Source organism: Homo sapiens, chromosome 20 (assembly GCF_000001405.40).
Source record: "Homo sapiens chromosome 20, GRCh38.p14 Primary Assembly".
Lineage (NCBI taxonomy): Eukaryota > Metazoa > Chordata > Mammalia > Primates > Hominidae > Homo > Homo sapiens.
The window spans coordinates 16,586,789-16,606,110 of NC_000020.11; the positions used below are offsets into that span (position 1 = coordinate 16,586,789).

General features: G+C 40.2%; 1 long non-coding RNA gene across 1 annotated transcript; it reads right to left on the reverse strand.

Annotated features, from left to right (window-relative positions):
• On the reverse strand, nt 3,109-18,722 carry LOC105372541 (uncharacterized). The gene is made up of 2 exons (XR_937285.3): nt 17,760-18,722; nt 3,109-3,828 (listed from the first exon to the last, which is right to left on the reverse strand). It is a non-coding gene; the product is annotated as an uncharacterized LOC105372541 (long non-coding RNA).
• Between the last annotated feature and the right edge of the window lie 600 nt (nt 18,723-19,322).

Here is a 19,322-nt window from a genome sequence, read left to right on the forward strand (position 1 = left end):
GGTGATTTCTTTGTGTAGTTGAATTTATCCCTTTTAAAAAATTGCTTGTGGGTTTTGTGACATTTTTAGGAAGGCACTTCCCATCTCAACATTATAAAATAAATTCTCATGTGGTTTTCTTTTTGTGGTAATAATAATTATGAAGAGGCTCCAACCTGATTTATTTTAACATGACTTCTGGTTATCCTGGCCCCACTGAATCATCCATCTTCCCTCAGTGACTTGATATCTTGGCTGCATCTTAAAAAGAAGGCAGCAGTTCCTTTCCACTTAAAATGAGTACATCTTAATTCCACTTTCTATTTGATATATCTTGTGTGTCACTTATATTATTCATTACACTTTAGAGTTACATATTGCAGTGTATCCAGTTTGCCAATGAAGATAGCTAAGCACTGAGAGATTCAAGCATTCAGACTCACCTGGTCGCAGCCTAGATACTGAACCATGTAATGCTAAACCTCAGGGAGTTGTTGGGAAAGGAATTCAACCTTTGGACATTGTTATGGGCCAGATTGTGCTCTCCACCCCCGAACCCTCATTCATATGTTGAAGTCCTAACCTCAGAATGTGACTGTATTTAGAGATAATCTTTAAAGATGTAATGAAGTTAAAATGAGGTTACAACAGTGGGTCTTCACCCAGTATACTGGTGTCACAGGAAGAAGAAATTAGGACACAGGTGTGTAAAAAGGGAAGACCATGTGAAGACACAGGCAGAAGACAGCTATCTACAAGCCAAGGAGAGAGGTTTGTAGATCCTGCTGCCACCTAATGCCTAATCTTCAGGAATCTCACCTCCAGTATTGTGGGCAAATAAATTTCTGTTGTTTAAACCACCCAGTCTGTGGTACTTTGTTATGGCAGCCTAGTAAATTAATACAGAGGTACACAGACCTGGCCGAATCAATTAAAGGTCTCTGGCTGCAAGCATTAGACATCTAGTCAGGTCCAGTGTCTTAGTCCTGTTTGCTGAGTCTGCTATGGAGATCTGCATGCAGCAGGTGCATTGGGAGTGCTCACCGCAGCAATACCTGTAGGGGAGTAAAGGAGGCTGGGAAAGGGAGAAGTTGAATGTGATGTAATTGCAGCAGAGGTCTCAACTGATCCTAGGAGGAGCTCTGGAGCTGGGATGGCCCTTCAGGGTTGTCCAGATTGAGGCAAGGCTGGACCGTTGTCCCCCAGCAGACTTTCCCTAGAAGAGGGTCCAAACTTGGGCGAGGAAGCTCTGTGTGGCTGAGGGCAAGTGCTGAGAGAGACTCAGCAGTGAGCCATCAGCAGCCAATGCTGTTGGCAGCTGGAGAATGAGTATCTTTGTCCTGGAGTGGGATCTGGGTAGAGCACGCCTGCAACCACCACTCCCACCTAAGAAGAGGGATAGATATGTGGGATGGGATGGGTATGTGGGAAACTTGCAGCATGGAGGGACATCTTGAAGGAGTGGGCCTCAGGACGGACATGGCCCAATGCAACATGGGGAGTGGGAAGGCAGGAACAGAATGGACAGTTTCTCTAGCCAAAAACCACTGAAATAGATCAACTCCAATCATCATTATCCCGTTCCCTTCAACATTCAGATTCCAGGAAAGAGAGAGAGTCTACCTAGCCTGACTTTGGTCACCTACTTGCCCTTTGGACAGAACGGGGCCTGGCACTTTGACTGACAGTCCCCAGAAGGCTGCACAATGTGGGGGAAGGGTGGTTCCCAAAAGACCAATTGAGATGTCATCACTAGATGAAAGGGGATGGACACTGGGCAGGCGAAAACAACTCATGTCCATTGGGCAGGCCAGCTGCGTTGGAATCTCAGTTTTAGGTGACTTTGGGCAAATAGTTTGAGCTCATAAAACTTCAGGTGCTTCATATGTAAAATATAAATAGTACTACCAACCTCAGAGGATTTTTCAGGCTTAAATAATATATCAATATCTACCTATATGTAAGTGTGTACATATATATGTGTATATGTACACATAAACAAATTATGCATATATTCACATATATTCATGCACATAATATGTAGATGTATATGATCCCTATAAATTGAGAGCTTCCACTTATTTGATTTATGTCTATGGCTCCTAGGACTTCATTAAATTTTTTCTATAATGTTATCCATATGCATTTTCCATTCCCATCCCTTCTTGAGAACAGGAGAAGCATTTAATGTGTCTTTTTGAGTGTGCTAATTGGCTGGGTGTGTTGGCTCATGCCTGTAATCCCTGCAATTTAAGGGGCTGATATGGGAGGATCACTTAAGGCCAGGAGTTTGAGACCAGCCTGGGTAACATAGAGAGAACTACCTCTAAACAAAATTTAAAAATTATCCAGGCATGGTGGCACACACCTGTAGTCCCAGCTACTTGGGACACTAAGGCAGGAGGATAGCTTAAGCCCAGAAGATACACACTTCAGTGAGCTATGATCCTGTCACTGCACTCCAGGGTGACACAGCAAGACTTTGTCTCAAAAAAAAAAAGTGTGAATTCCCAAACTCTAGTTCTGGAATATCTTAGAAACACCGTTTCGCTTCATAGAGAGAACTGGGAAAGTGAAAAGTTTCACAATTTTATATTCTTCATTATTATTATTATTATTATGAGACAGAGTCTCATTCTGCCACCCAGGCTGGAGTGCAGTGGCACGATCTTGGCTCACTGCAACCTCTGCCTCCCAGGTTCAAGTGATTATCCGTGCCTCAGCCTCCTGAGTGTCTGGGATTACAGGCATGTGCCACCACGCTCAGCTAATTTTTGTATTTTAGAGATGTCCAAGTCTCGAACTCCTGACCTCAGGCAATCCGCCTGCCTCGGCCTCCCAAGTGCTGGGATTACAGGCATGAGCCACTGCGCCCGGCCTATATTCCTCATTTTGGATGTGGGGGTGTATATGATTTTACATTTAGAAAAATAAATAAAATAAATAAAAATAAAAATAGTCAAGAGTGGAATGAAAAAACCAAAAGGAGAGTGTGCCCTGTATGTCATCTGCCTGCTGGGAGGTGTGCAGGCAGAACCGTCTCATGGTTTCTCAACAGCAGGTGGCGCGAGGCAGGGGATAGTCCGGGCTGAGGATGTCGAAGGCTACCCCAAAAATGTCAGAGGCCAGTGAAAGTTCCAGAATGGAGTACGCAGCCCCATTTCTTTGTTTGCTTATTTTCGAGAGAGATGTTTATCATGATGCTAGGGAAAACTTGAATAGAGAAGAGGTGGTAAGGAGAGAGTGGGGTGGCATTTTCTTCCATACATCTATTTTCAAAAAGGATCCGATTCCAGCAACAAAGTGTCGACTTCACTCCTCCACAGCCACCAAGAAGAACGGCTTCTGTGGACACTTCCCAGCTTGCAAATGTTTCCTCTCCGAGGTCACACAAATAGCTGATACATCCATTTCCCTGAAATAAATGCCATCATGGAGGTCTTCTTGTAGCTGTCAGAGGTTATGAGCAGTGTTGATGGAGTGGGGTAATGACATTGCAAAGTGATTGAAAGGGTTTAGCATGTGATTTCCTATTTGGTTCAGACAAAATAAAACCATTATCTGTGCTTCATCTTTTTTAAAGAGATTGTTTCCTGAGCTCTTTCATGCTTGAAGCCTGTTGCAGCACCCAGGGACAATATTAGCCTGTCACAATTATAGATCAGTTCATCACCACAGTCAGCCTCCAATCTCCTTGAACTCTTTCCAGAGGAAATGACTTTTCTGGGTCTGTATTATCCCCGGGTATGTCGACTTTTGAAAAAGATGTTGCTGCAATCATTCATTTAACTGTGGAGAGCTGTCTGACAGCACAGACCCAGGCACATTGGCGAATTTGCTGGTAGATGCCTATGAGCAACCAAGACCTCCATTAGCTCATGTGTCAAGGGAAAGCAGACACTTGGACATGTGGATGCAGTGGGGGCAGCAGCTTGCTTGAATGGGTTATAGATAGACTTGATGTTGAAGGGATTAGGGGTTCCCTAGTGCCTTTCTTATCTGTTACTAAACTATGCCTGAATCAGTGAACTCACGTGGCCAGGCCACAGTGAGTGTTCAGGAGGGCTGTCAGTATCCTCTCTCACACACTTTTACTCCCTGCTAATGCAGGAAGCTATCTCATTAATGTTCTGGCTCGCAATCCCACTTCACTCAACAACAGCCTGTCACCAGACCTATTACCTGATTTTCAGGTGTTAGATTGCTAGCTCTACAATGCAAAGGGATTTCCATCCCAGGGACTTTCTAAGCATCAGGCTTTAACTCAGCCTCCACACAAGGGATAGAAGAAGATCCCATGGCCCAGAATGAAAATAAATCATTTTCATAGGTGAATGCAGCAAATGTATATAGACATCAATTTACCTGTTGATGCTTTTTAAAAAAATAAAAAATATAAAATTTACAAATCTTTGCCATTTTGAAGTGTAAGTGCAATGGCATTAACTACATTCACATTATTGTACAGCATCACCACCATCCACTCCAGAACATTTTTTATCTTCCCAAGCTGAAAATCAGTACCCATTAAACAACGACTCCCCATTTTCACCTCCCTGGCTATGTCGTCCTTGCCAATGACCATTCCGCTTTCTACCTCTATGAATTTGACTACTCTCTATACCTTACACAAGAGGAATCATACAGTATTTGTCTTTTTGCTTATTTCACTTAGCATAATGTCTAAAAAGTTCATCCATGCTGTAGTGTATCAGAACTTTATTCTTTTTTAAGTCTGAATAATATTCCATTTGTATATATACCACATTCTGTTTATTCATTTATTGGTTGGTGGATATTTATATTGTTTCTATTGTTTGACTGTTGTGAATAATGTTGCTATGAACATGGGCATACAAACATCTGTTCAAGTCCCTATTTTCAATTCTTTTGGAAGGCAACTACGTTCACCACTATACCACCAACGCTAGGGCTTTTTTGGGTATATACCTAGAAGTGGGACTGCTGGATCATATGGTATTTCTATGTTTAATTTTTGGAGGAACTACATACTGTTTTCCATAGTGCCTACACCATTTTACATCCCTTTCAACAACGCACAAGGGTTCCAATTTCTTCACATCCCATCCAACATTTTTTAAAGGTTATTCTAATGAGTGTCCCATTAGTGTTTTTAAATATGATCACTCTCCATTTATGAAGTTGCTTCAAAATAAAGGAAGAGAAGGAGTATGGAAAGAAAATCAATGAGGAGTGGTCACTGAATACAGAACCAAGAATTTTGTGAGATGTCAGCCACCAACATCAGAATCTCTTTTGGATCTGAGAGGATACATACTCCAGTCTTTGGTACTTCTAAAATTTTTCCTATATATTGTCAAGCTGCAACGAGCTGAGACCATTGTCATACTTTTATTCTATTAGCTCCACAGAACAAAAACATATTTATTAATAATAATATCATAAAAACAGACTGATTCTCATCTAGCAGAAAATATTTGAAATATCTAAAACTGACAAGGGTTAATATTTTAAATATACCAATAACTCCTGCAAATCAACAAGGAACATAAGAACTCCAATGGAAAAATAGGTGAAGAATATGGATAAGCATTTCACAGATAGCAAAGACAGAAATTTATGAAAAAAGTCCTCAACTTCATTAGAAATTAGATAAATAAAAATTAAAACAAAACACACATTGCACCCCTAATAACAGCAAAGTTTAAAACATTAAAAAATAAAAACAAGTTGAAAAAGATGTGGATAGACAAAGAACTTCCATGCACTACTGTTGGAATGTAAACTTAGACATTCTGAAAAACGAACTGATGTTGTTTTATGAAATTAAATATGTTTAAGCCAAAAGAGGCAGAAATTCCTCTCTTGAATATCCTAGAGAAATTCTTGGATAGGTCTGCAAGAAAATATGAATGAGAATCTTCATCACAGCATTGTTTGTGCCCCCAAGGTGTGAAGAAGGACAACTTACTGTCTATCACAATGCAGCAAGATAAAGAAAATTGGTGCATGCACAATAGAATACGATGAAGCATTAAAAGCAACCATTTAAATGTATATTCAGCAGCATGAGAGATATGATAAAGCAAAATGATTTAAAAAATCAGGAAACAGACTAATATATATAGCATATCACCTTTAATATCATTTATGTGCATTAACAGTTCACAAAGATATAGAACAGCACCAAGTGTTTTTAAAGGTACATGCATATTAGGGATGTACATCAGCACATTAGAATGGGTGTCTAGGACAGGGAGAGGAGAATAGATATGAGAATTAGGAATACAAAGGGAAAAACAAAAATAAAGCAAATGAGGGGCCTTGCAGTGGACTGCTGATATCAGCATGATGGTGATAATGATAATAGAACTGATGAACATGGTTAACTCATGTTTCCTTACCCGAGGTCCAAACAAAAAATAAAACAAAGCAAAACAAAGCAAAGAAAGTTCCAGGGATCAACAATCAATATCTTAGCTGATCATTTATCTATCTGTCTTATATCATAATATATACATTTATATCTATATCCCTCAACCCAGAACATTCCAGCATAGATAGCAAGCAATTCTACATAATAACAATAAATGCTTTCATTACACTTAATAGTGAGAGACTGAATGTTCTCCTCTTAAGATCAGAAATAAGACAAATCTGTTCTCACCACTTTTATTCAATATTGTACTGGAGGTTCTAGACAGAGCGATATGGCAAGACAAAGAAATACAGTGCAGCCAGATGGAAAAGAAGAATTAAGCTATCACTATTTGAAGAAGGCATAATCTTATATATAGAAAATCCTAAAGAATCCACTAAAAAAAATAGTACTAATAAAAGAATTCAGCAAGATTGCAGGATACAAGATTAATGAAAAAAAAATCAATTGTATTTCTATGCACCAGCAAGGAACAATCCAAAAATGAATTTAAGAAAACAACTCTAGGCAGGGTGCAGTGGCTCACACCTGCAATCCCAGCACTTTGGAAGGCCAAGGGGGGCTGACCACTTTGAGCTCAGGAGTTTGAGACCAGGCTGGGCAACATGGTGAAACCCTATCTCTACTAAAAATAAAAGAATTGGCCAGGCATTGATGGTTCACAACTGTAGTCTCAGCTACTTGGGAGGCTGAGGCTGGAGAAGTGCTTGAGCCCGAGAAGCAGAAGTTGCAGTGAGCTTAGATCTTGCTACTGAACTCCAGCCTGGGCAACAGAGTGAAACCCTGTCTCTTGAAAGAAAAAACAAAAGAAAAAGAAAAGGAAAAGAAAAAAGAGAAGAGGAGAGGAGAGGAGAGGAAGAAAGAGGAAACAATCCCATTTACACCAGCATCAAAAATAATGAAATACTTAGGAATAACGTAACATAGTATAAAAGTTATACTCAGATACAAAATATTGTTGAGAGAAATTGAAGAAGGCACAAATAAATGGAAAGACATCTCACTCATGGATAGAAACAAAAATAATTAATGGAAATATAGCTGATACAGTAGAAAGATAAGATGGCAATATTCCCCAAACTGATCTACAGATTCAACACAATCCTGATCAAAATTCTAGCTGGTTTATTTGTAGAAATGGCCACACTGATCCTAGGATTCATATGAAAATTCAAAGGACCCAGAATAGCCAAAAAATCTTGAAAAAGAACAAAAAATAGGGGATTCACACTTCACAATTTCAAAACTTACTACAAAGCTACAATAATTCAGTGTGGTACCAGCATAAGGATAGCCATATCAATCCATGGCATAGAATTGAGAGTCCAGAAAATAAACCCGTATATTTATGGTTAATTGGTTTTTAACAAGGGTGCCAAGACAGCTTAATGGGAAAAAGAAGAGTCTTTTCAACAAATGGTTTCAGGAAAGCGGATTGTCCACGTGCAAAAGAATGAAGCTGGACTCCCTCCTTATACCACATGCAAACATCAACTCAGAATGAATCATGTATGTACATGTTAGAGCTCAAAATTAGAAATTTGTTAGAAGAAAACAAACAAGTAAATCATTGTTGCCTTAGGTTAGGTAATAGTATTTTGTTGTTGTTGTTTGTTTTTTGGTTTTTAAGTTATGACACCAAAAGCGCAAGTGACAAAAGAAAACAAAAATTGTATTTTAACAAAATTTAAAACTTCTCTGCTTTAAAAGATACCATCATGAAAGTGAAAAGACAACCCACAAAATGGGAGAAAATATTTTCAAATATTTGCAAATTGTATGCTTGTTAAGGGAATCAGACAACAAGTTCAGAAATAAAAAGACATAACCCAATTTAAATATAGGAAAAGGGTCGAAATAGTCATTTCTCTAAGAAGATATACAAACATCCGACATGTACATGAAAATATACTCAACCTTACTGGTCATTAGGGAAATGCAAATTAAAACCACAATGAGATACCAGTATACACCTACTAGGATGGCTACAATCAAAAAAATTCACAATAACAAGTATTAACAAGTATGTGGAAAAATTGAAACCCACATTAATTGCTGGTGAGAATGTAAAACTGTCCAGCTATTTTGGAAAACAGTTTGGCACCTCCCTGAAATGTTAAACAGAGAATTAACGTATGACCTGGCAATTCTACTGCTAGGTTTAAATTCAAGAGATATGAAAGTATATGTCTACTCAAACTCACATCCATAGCAGTATTATTGAATAATAGCCAAAAAGTAGAAACAACCCAAATGTCTGTAACTGATGAAAGGATAAACAAAATATAATATAACCTTGCAAAGGAATAATACTCAGCAATAAAAAGAAATGAAGCCAGGTGCGGTGGCTCAGGTCTGTAATCCCAGTGCTTTGGGAGGTTGAGATGGGAGGATTGCTGGAGTCCAGGAGTTCAAGGCTGCAGTGAGCTGTGATTGCACCACTACACTCCAGCCTTGATGACAGAGTGAGACTCTGTCTCTTTAAAAAAAGTAAATAAAAAAAAATAAAAAAAAAATGAAGGACTAATATGATGATTGAACCTTGAAAACATTTTGCTAAGGGAAAGTAGCCAGTCACAAAGGATCACATATTATATGATTTTATTTGTATGTGCTGAATAGTCAAACCTATACAGATAGAATGTAGATCAGATGTTGCCAGGGGCTTGAGAGAAGAGGAAACATGAGTGACTGCTAATGGCAAGAGAGATTTTTAGGGGATGATAAAAAGGTTCTAAAATTACACAGTAAGTGAAGGTGGTACAATTCTGTGAATTTATAAAAACTATTGAATTGTGTGTGATGAATTGCTAAATCGTACAGTATATTGATTATATTTCAATAAACCTGCTCAAAAAATACAAATTCTGTTTGTTTGATGTTGTTTTTAACATCACTGTATGCCTTCTTATGCTGAAAGTCAGCATTGGAGAGGAAGAAAGCAAACTAATTCAATGCTTTTAAAGAAGCATGTTAAATACCTCACTTTAAATGATCAATCACTTGGGGGCGAAGTAACACACAAAATAAATATGGAAATAAGCGTTTTTCTCCTTCTGTTGCACACAGCATGAACACATTGACTACTATGGAAAAGAAAAAGAGAAGTCCAGCCATGTTTGGCTAAAATGTACAGTGATATTTAACAGCACCAAGAAAAATTTCAGAGCATTGGATTTGGGCACATACTGAAAAGCCCTTCGAATTACCTTTTGAGATTTGATACTTGTACTAGTCACCTCAAAGAAAGTGAGGACATAATAAGCCAGAAGGGAAATAAGAAAAGGGGCTGTTTCATATGTGACTTTGGGAAGGATTATCCCCTGGTTGGGGATACCCAGCAGCAGAAAACCATCATCAGGCTACTGCAGATCAACTTAGCTGCAGTGTACCTAGAAAGACTGGATCCAGGCTGGGTGTGGTGACTCATGTCTGTAATCTCGGCGCTTTGGGAAGCCAAGATGGGCGGATCACCTGAGGTCAGGAGTTTGAGAACAGCCTGGCCAACATGGTGAAACCCTGTCTCTACTAAAACTACAAAAATTAGCCAGGTTTCCTGAGTTCCCAGGAGCTGTCTGGTGGCCCTGGTGATGGCCCCTGAGGCTGGAGTCCCCATGGGCAGCCCAGCCTGGCTCTGTTCCCTGTCTTCTCACCCCACCCCCACTCCCTTGGTGGCCTGACTCCCACCTCCTGGTGGCCCCATCTCCCAGTTCCTCATAACATGGTTTTTACTTCTGTGGATTTAATAAAACTTCACCAGTTCAAAAAAAAAATTAGCCAGGCATGGTGGCGCACGCCTGTAGTCCCAGCTACTCGGGATGCTGAGGTGGAAGAATTGCTAGGACCTGGGAGGTGGAGGTTTTGGTGAGCAGAGATTGTTCCATTGCACTCCAGCCTAGGCGACACAGCAAGGCTTTCCCTCAAAAAAAAAAAAAAAAGACTGGATCCATTATCCATGGCCGACCTTGGTCATCTTCAACAAGATAATAAAGGAAACCTTTGTTCTAATCTTGGCTCAAAGAAAGCGATCTGTTGTGTCTCTTGTTGCATATGAAATTTCTCAAGTCCAAATAATTACCAGTGTCTTTCATTTACATGAGGCATTTCCACGGTTAATGTCCAACAAAAATCTATGTGGAGTGCCATATTTATCAGACTTGATAAATATTGAAAGTACTTATACATTTCATAATTAACAAACTGACCTTTACAGAAAAATTAACTTTCTAGTGGTGAATGTTTGTACCACATATTCCAAATTAAATAAATAAGCACTTCGGAAGATGGAACTGTGTATTTTATTTTTTAATATATTTATGTTCTCCTAACCCCATAGAACCTAGAATAAGGTCAATCTATATTTACTTAAAAAGTTGGAAAGAAATGGTACAGGAAGGATCAGGACAATAGACTTCCAAAAACATAGAAATGAAATGATATTAATAGAAGACACACCCAAGGGACATATCACCATGCTTATTGAGATACTGTGGTCCCTGGCAGCCTGAGGCTCTTTGCTTAGAAGACAAGCATTTGTTTATAAAGTTCAACATGGTAGGTGAGTGACATTATTTGTGGAACAAAAAACTTCCAAATGGTATAATTTAGTATTGCTTTATAACATCACTTGTCAAATTTGTTTTCTTCAGCCTGAAGAATTTCTAATTTAAATTTGTTGGCATCTTGTTACATCTGCCTGAGAAGTCTTTGGGCTAATCACAAATTTAGACAGAGCTGAATTCTTCAATCTGTCTTCTTTTGTGGTTTTGTGATCCTAGAAGGCTCTCGGGGGTAAAGATCCAGAAGTATCCCAGAATATCCCAATAGATACAAATAAAATAAACTAAATGAAAAATGTCAAATTAGCTGGACGTGCCGGCAGGCACCTGTAATCCCAGTTACTCGGGAGGCTGAGGCAGGAGAATTGCTTGAACCTAGGAGGCAGACGTTGCCTGGGTGAAACAGTGAGACTCTGTCTCAAAAAAAAAAGTATATTTTTTATCATTTAAAAACTGTCAATCAGAAAAACTTCCCATTTCCTTTTAAAATGTGAGATTGGCCTCACTGTGTATATTGTCTAATTTGTTTGATCATCATGCAGACAACCAAGTCAAATACTTTAAGGCAAAGCAAAACAGAAAATGTTAAAAGTCCTTTCTGGGAAGCAACCAAGCTTGAATGGACCCTGGATATATGGCCTAGCCACTACCCTATATGTATAGTTTCCTAGGGTTTTCAGTTACTCAGAAAGGCCCACATGCTTCCGCACTGCAATGCGCAAAGCTCTCTCATGCCTCTGCCATCTGCTCCTGACCCTGCACCCTGACCCACAAGCAGATATGAGGAGAAAGCATATTAGAAATCAAATCATGTCTGTTCTGCTCCCAAAACAGTGCCAAGATAACACCAGGAGAGAACGACATGTGAGAGAAATTTGAGCCTAAGATTTATTTGGGCCAGATTACCTGGCTGGTGAAGATGGGCAGTTCATCATTTCAAATTTTATTCAAAACAAATCAAGAATTGCCATTCAATATTGATTTCATTTATTCTGCACTGAATCCACACTTACTGAGAGAACTATTCCAGGTGTAGTCCTTGTTTTCATCTTCCAGTTTGTTTGTGGAGATGGGGATGGATGTAGGAATGAACGATGTCAACATCTGGCACAGGTGCTAAAGTAATAGGATACTACATTGGGGGTTCAAAGAATGAAGATGCTTTCAACTCAATCTTCAACTTCACGCCTGTCTACTAAAGGAGTCCCCAGGCCGGGCACAGCGGCTCACGCCTGTAATCCTAGCACTTTGGGAGGCCGAGGCAGGCAGATCACAAGGTCAGGAAATCGAGACCAGCCTGGCCAACATGGTGAAACCCCATCTCTACTAAAATACAAAAAATTAGCTGGGCACGGTGGTGCACGCCTGTAGTCCCAGCTACTTGGGAGGCTGAGGCAGGGGAATTGCTTGAACCCGGAAGGCGGAGGTTGCAGTGAGCCGAGATCACACCACTGCATTCCAGCCTGGGTGATAGAGTGAGACTCTGTCTCAAAAAAAAAAAAAAAAAAAAGGACTCCCAGTTTGGCTGCAGGTAAGTAGGTAAGCAGAGTGCTTTGTTCCTACCACATTAAGGAGTGGCAGATGGGATGGATGGTCGGCCTATCTTGCTGAAAACATCTCAAGTACACTGCAGAAGAAAAACACACACTGGGCTTCTGATTTGTCAAACATGTTCCAGGGTTTGTTTGATGTGGCAAGAATATACATTGTCAGGGTAGGGGGATCCCCTGCGTGACACACAGCCTCCAGGATTCAATTTCCATTCCAGTAAGCACCACTTACAAAGGTGAAAGAAGTTTTAGGTTTATTCCCTAAGTAATATTGCTAATGACCACTGACAGTGAACGTCAAATGTCTCAGACTCAGTAATTGCAGAAAAATGGTAAACCAAACTCTGAGGCTCTGCTCTCAAGTCTTAAGGAAGGGCAAGGAAACTCTGGAGGGCTCCAAAAATGCAGAGATGGAGAGCAGGTACCTGTGTGTCTGGTACCCAGGTGTATGTGCACCTGGAGGGGGGTGCAGGGGCCCCCTATTGATTGCCCTCCATATTCACTTTAATGAAGAGGGAGTTTCCATATCATGGCAGGGCTTTCCCAGGATAAGCCCCTCAGCCTCACAGTGAAGAGAGATGGTCTACTGTATCAAGTATGATTCATTCTATTCTTTAGGGTTTATTTGTTTTGTATTTTTGAGACAGGGTCTCACTCTGTCACCCAGGCTGGAGAGCAGTGGTGCGATCTTGGCTGACTGCAGCCTCCACTTCCAGGGTTCAAGGCATGCGCCACCATGCCCGGCTAATTTTTGTATTTTTTGTAGAGACGGGGTTTCACCATGTTGACCAGGCTGGTCTCGAACTCCTGACCTTGAGTGATCCGCCCACATTGGCCTCCCAAAGTTATGGGATTGCAGGCATGAGGCACTGCACCCGGCCTAGGTGGTTGGTTTTGTTTGTTTTTAGAAAAACACAGTATTTTAAAAAATCTGTTGGAATTGTACTATAGTTATGCAAGATTTTAACATTGGCAGAGGAGGAGTGAAGGATACATAGAGCTTCCCTGCACATTTCTTTGCAACTTCCTCTGAATCTATAATTAGTTCAAAGCAAAAACTTGAAAAATATCTGTTGGTACATTAGGTATAAAGTAAATAAATAAATAAATAATAAAACAATCTCCCTTTATTTAAAAGAGCCAGATGCGTATTTGTCTGGGGTGTGTGTTACCTTAGATAATGTTTTGATACAACTCTATTATATAACATCTTCTGCTCATTTATACAATTATGTATTTGCTTACTGAATTTCTTCATTCACTGAATTTTTAAAAAATGTTTCTTTCAGAGACAGGTCTTGCTCTGTTACTCAGGCTGAATTCGGACTCCTGTGCTCATTCTATCCTCCTGCTTCATCCTCTCAAATAGCTTGGACTACAGGTGAGCACTACTGTGCCCAGCTCATTTACTGAATATTAATTGAGCACCTATTACATGTCAGAGCATTACTGTAGGTGCTGGGCACGGATTTTGTCCTCATGATTCTTATAGTTTAATAGGGAAGACAGCTATTTTTTTAAATCTCGAAATGCATAATTGTCATTGTGACGAATACTTTGAAAGAGAGTTGTGTGGTGGAACAATCAGAGTTTCCTCTGGCATTTTTATAAGAACTAAATGAGATAGATACCCTATGTGAAATGCTTTTAAACCATTAAGTTCTTTACAAATATTGGTGGTCATTAATATTTGGCGCAAACATGGAAGTTTGTTTTCTTTTAAATTCAGTCTTTCCAAAAGGGTCCCAATTACTAGCAGTTTTTACTAGTCTCATCCCTCTCTCTGGCTGGACATCATTCTCCTACCTTCTGCCCTGGGAAAACCAGATGCCACCTGCCCACACACCCAGGCACATGCAGTCTCCACATCCACACACCCTGAAACATGCATTACACAGAAGTATAACTTGGCGCAGGCTCCTGAAAAGTTGGCCCCAGATTCTCTGAGCAGCTGGCTTCCCTCACAGATTATTTCAGGACAGTCAGGAAGCCTGATTCTTTGGAGGGCCTGCTAGCATGGCATTGGGGATGATCCAAATGCTTTTGAGGAATTGCCAAGTTCAATTTTCAAAGAGCAGTGCATCTACTGACACCAGCGTCTATTCCTAAAGGAGAAACTTGACCTACTTTTCTGTCCCAGAAATCCCTTGGGGTCTTCAGCTTGGCCAGAGCCTCTCACATTTTAAGCACAGTAATGGTTCTCAACACCTATGCTCAGAGGCATGAGGTAGACATCTGGATTGTCATGCAGGGACCCAGATTTTGAGGAATGGGGGGTGGGAACGTCAGTGGAGAAAGACACATCTGACAGAGAACCCTTGGAGCCAAGTCATTAGACAAGAGCCATAAGAGTGAAGAACCTTGGGGTTCAGTAGGATGTTTTGGAGATGCAAACAACTCACCTTGTGTGCAACTTCATGTTGGGGGTGGGAGAAGCTGAAGATGAACTTAAAATAAGGCCAAAAATGGCGATGAGAGAACAGGAGTGAAATAGAAGATGGAGTGCAGGTGGAGGATGATAAATTTGGTACTACTGAGCTTGAAGTGCTGGACACCATCAGTGTCCAGAATACAGTTGGCAAATCATGCCTGGAACCTTGAGACAGGGTTGAGATGAGATGCCATGTGAACAAAAGAGGCCATTGAAGTGATAGGAGCAGTCAAGCTAGTTGGTGCAGTAAGTTTCCAGCTCTACTGTTTCTCCCAAGCCCAGCTCTTGTGTTGCAGATTGATCCATTGCCACATCCTTGCTCCCTGCATCTCCATCCAGTTCCTGTACATTGCTGGCTTCCATAACATCTATTTCCATACTCTGTTTGATGCAGAGACAGAGATACAACCTGCCATGGCTGACTTTTAATAAGGTATTGAACTCCCCTAGCCTCAGTTTCTCATCTGGAAATGGGGATAATAGCAGCTCCTGCCTCACAATGCTGTTGGCTGCCTCCAAGTCTTTAACACGGTATTAGTTAGTGCTCAACAAATGTTACTATTATTAATAGTTGGAAAGGAGGAGAGATGGAATATGCATAATGAAAAAGTGATTGGCCAGGCATGGTGGCTCATGCCAGTGATTCCAGCACCTTGGGAGACTAAGGCAGGTGGATTGCTTGAGCTCAGGAGTTCGAGACCAGCTTGGGCAAAATGACAAAACCCTACAAAATAATAATAATAATAATAAAGATACAAAAATTAGCCTGGCATGGTGGTATCCACCTGTAGTCCTAGCTACTTAGGAGGCTGACGCGGGAGGACAGCTTGAGCCCCGGAGGTAGAGGTTATGGTAAACCCAGATTGCACCACTGCACTCCAGCCTGAGCAGCCAGACCCTGTCTCAAAAAAGAAAAAGTGATTGGCTACTTTTATTCCAATGTTACATAAAAGTAGCAGTTTGGTCTAGATTGTTAACTGTTGACCAGTAAAATTCATGATGCCACAAATACAAAAGCACAAGTACGGCATTTGCATATATCCATATATGTATGTAGTCACACAAGTGTGTGAACAGACACATGCATATACACATATGTATTATATATACATATATATGCCTCAGTTCTTCAGAAAAACATCACTCTCACTGTTTTTCTTTAGGGCACTTGCTATAATGACAATTTTGCCTCTTTGTGTGTGATTATTTGTGATGATTTGTCTTTCACTAGATTGTCAGCACTACCATGGCATGGGAAATGTGTGTAGTTATGCAGCACCATAGCTGCTGCATAGCACACAGTAGGAGTGCAATGACAGCTTGATGGATGGAGAGAGAGGGTGGTAATGAGTAGAGAATGGCATCGGAACATTAGCTGCAAATAAAGCCTTATCTAGACAAATATTATTTCATCATCAAATAATTTGAGGGAAAAGTGGGTTTGTTTATTTACCTGATTCCCTGACTATTAAAATGAGTGATGAATAAATCAGAATGGACTTCTAAATTATAACTATGTGCTGTAAAATCTATAAACAAAAACAAAAAACACAATAATTTCCCTCAGCCCTGTTTCTTTCTAATTTAATGTGAGCTAATTCTTTGAGAGGGGGTGTTAAAATCAACCAACTCAGCCTGTAAGTATTTACTGAGTGTCAATTATGCGTATGACATTACACTAGCACTGAGTGAAACTGGCAAGACATGTGACCCCAAAGGAGCTATAATGTTCTAAGAGGTACAGACATATTTTGAAAATTAGCATTTGCAATAACTGACATTTATTGAATTCCATATTTCAAACACTGTTTTAAGTACTTTTCAAAGCTGAGCTCTATTAAACCTCACAACTCTCTGAAGTAGGCATAAATTATTACCGTTTTATATTGAAGAAATTAAGGCACAGAGACACTAAGTTTCTAGCCCAAGATCACACAGCTAGTCAGAGGGCCAGCTCTCAGGAGCCTATGCTGTTTACCACCACTCTTCATTCTCTCTCAGAAGAGCAGCTGAAGGTGGGAGCTGGAGGCTTGTTCAAAAATTAAGTATACAAGCTGGGCATGGTAGCTTATGCCTGTAATCCCAGCACATTGGGAGGCCAGGGCAGGAGGATCGCTTGAGGCCAGGAGTTTGAGAATAGATTGGGGAAAATAGAGAGACTTCCTTTATACAAAAAAAAAAAAATTAGCAGACTGTAGTGGCAATGCCTGTAGTCACAGCTCCTAGGGATGCTGAGACTGGAGGATCACTTGAGGCCAGAAGTTCTAGACCAGCCTGGGCAACACAATGAGACTCTCTCTACAAAACAAAACAAAAAAAGCATAAAGAATTCAGCTCACCTTTTTTGTAGTTTTTTTTTTTTTAGTAGAAATTAAAATGATCTACTTTTTTTTTTTTTTAAAGAAATTGGCCAGCCTTCTTGGAGGCTCTGAAAGTTAGTCATTTCAGGGAATTTGAACATACAACGGAACATTGGCCCAAGAATATTTTAAAAATTGTTTCTCATTATATCAATAATAATCAGCTGCAAACTGATCCCTTACAACGTATATGGGTTTCATTTTCTGGCACTGAGGGTGACCATATCCCAATGAGTCATTCTAAAACTAAAGAATAACATAATTGACATAGCCAAAGAATTAAATGTCTCATTATTGACTGAGGTATAGACGTCTCCAAAATCAGCTTGGAAGTCTACAAAGAGTTCTTGACCATTTACACAGTTATTTGGAGTTTCCGTGTAACTGTTTATTAGCTAGGATACAAAATAAAAGGCATTTATTTGCAACTTATTGTGAAATATCGGTGTGCCATCTTACCTTTCTCAGCATACCTGAAGTTCTACTATTTCTTCCTCTGGAATCATCAAATATAATTTGAAGTAACCTCACCAAGCCACTCTAATATATGTTATTTTTTCAGGAGAAAGTGATCAAGTGGTTTCCTTGATATTTTAACCATACTGTTCCCTCTGCATGAAAGGTCTTTCCTTACTTTATCTGGCAACCTCCTTCTCATTTTAGCAAATGCTTGTGCAATTATTACTTTACCAAAAAAAATTACATTTCCTCCTTTCTGATCTAACTCTTTCTGATCGCTTGTGTCAGTTAGGGATTGATTTTGGTGACAGACACCACCAAATATAATAGACATGTATTTTACTGTCTTATAACTTGACATTCAAAAGGCAGGGTAGGCATGTTGGCTCCACAATGTCTCCCAGGACCTGGTATTCTTTAATTTTTCTGCTCCCTCATCCTTAATGTGTAGCTTTCCTTCTCAGGATTGCCTCATGGTCTCAAGATGGCTACTGGAGCTCCAACTCTATCATCTGCATTCCAGGCAGGGAGAATAAAGAAGAGGAGAAGGGGAAAGAGACACTTTCTAGAAGAGTATACTATCCTATGAAGATTCTTTAAAGTTTATAAAATAACTTTCCCAAAGGCTCATCCAATGACTTCTCCTTTCTTCTCATTGGACACACATCTTTTATGGAGGCCAGGAAAAGTAGATTTTAAAAAATCTGAGTTAACTGATAACATAGGGATTCTGTTACTAGGAAGGTAAAAATGGAACGTAGTTAGACAACTAGCAAGCTCTGCTTTCTCCCAAACTGTGGTGGTTTCAAATATGTCTACAAATTCTTGGACACATCCCCATTAAGAGGTGGCATCTGTGTGCCACCCTTGAAATCTGGCCTGGCCTTAGTGACTATTACAACAAATGGAATACAGAGGGATGACACTGCCAGACTTCCGAGGTTAGGTCACAAAAGGCCATGCAACGTGCACGTGCTTCTACTGGAACACTAACTGTCTTGATGTCCTTTCTGGGATGTTCTCTTTTGAGACTCAGCTTCTATGTTATGAGAAGCTCAGGCCACATTGAAAGGCTATGTGTAGGTTGTCAGTCCCAGGTGAACTCAGTTTTTGAGTCATCCCAGCCCAGGTGCTTGACATGTCAGTGAAGGAGCCTCCAGATGACTCCAGTCCCCAGCCATGACATCAGCCTCAGCCTTAGTGACTTTTGTGATGTTGAGAACCAGAGATAAGCCATTCTCACTGCACACTGCCTGAATCCCCAACCCACAGAATCTGTGAGTTTAACACAATGGCTGTTTTAAGCAACAAAGATTTGTTATGAAGTGATTGTAACTGGAACACATCCATCCTCCAGAAAAGAGGCAATTGCTTCCAAATGTTTCCATCCCACTCTAGGTCAGCCTCTACACTTTCTGCAATGTCTATTACCTAGGAAATGATGGCTCTTGATAAATGTTTCTTCAATGAATGGGCTACATACAGGACTCACATTTTGTTCTGCTTACTTGTTAACATGCCCATCTTGCAGTCTCTGCTAGACTGCAAATGCAAAGGCAGGAA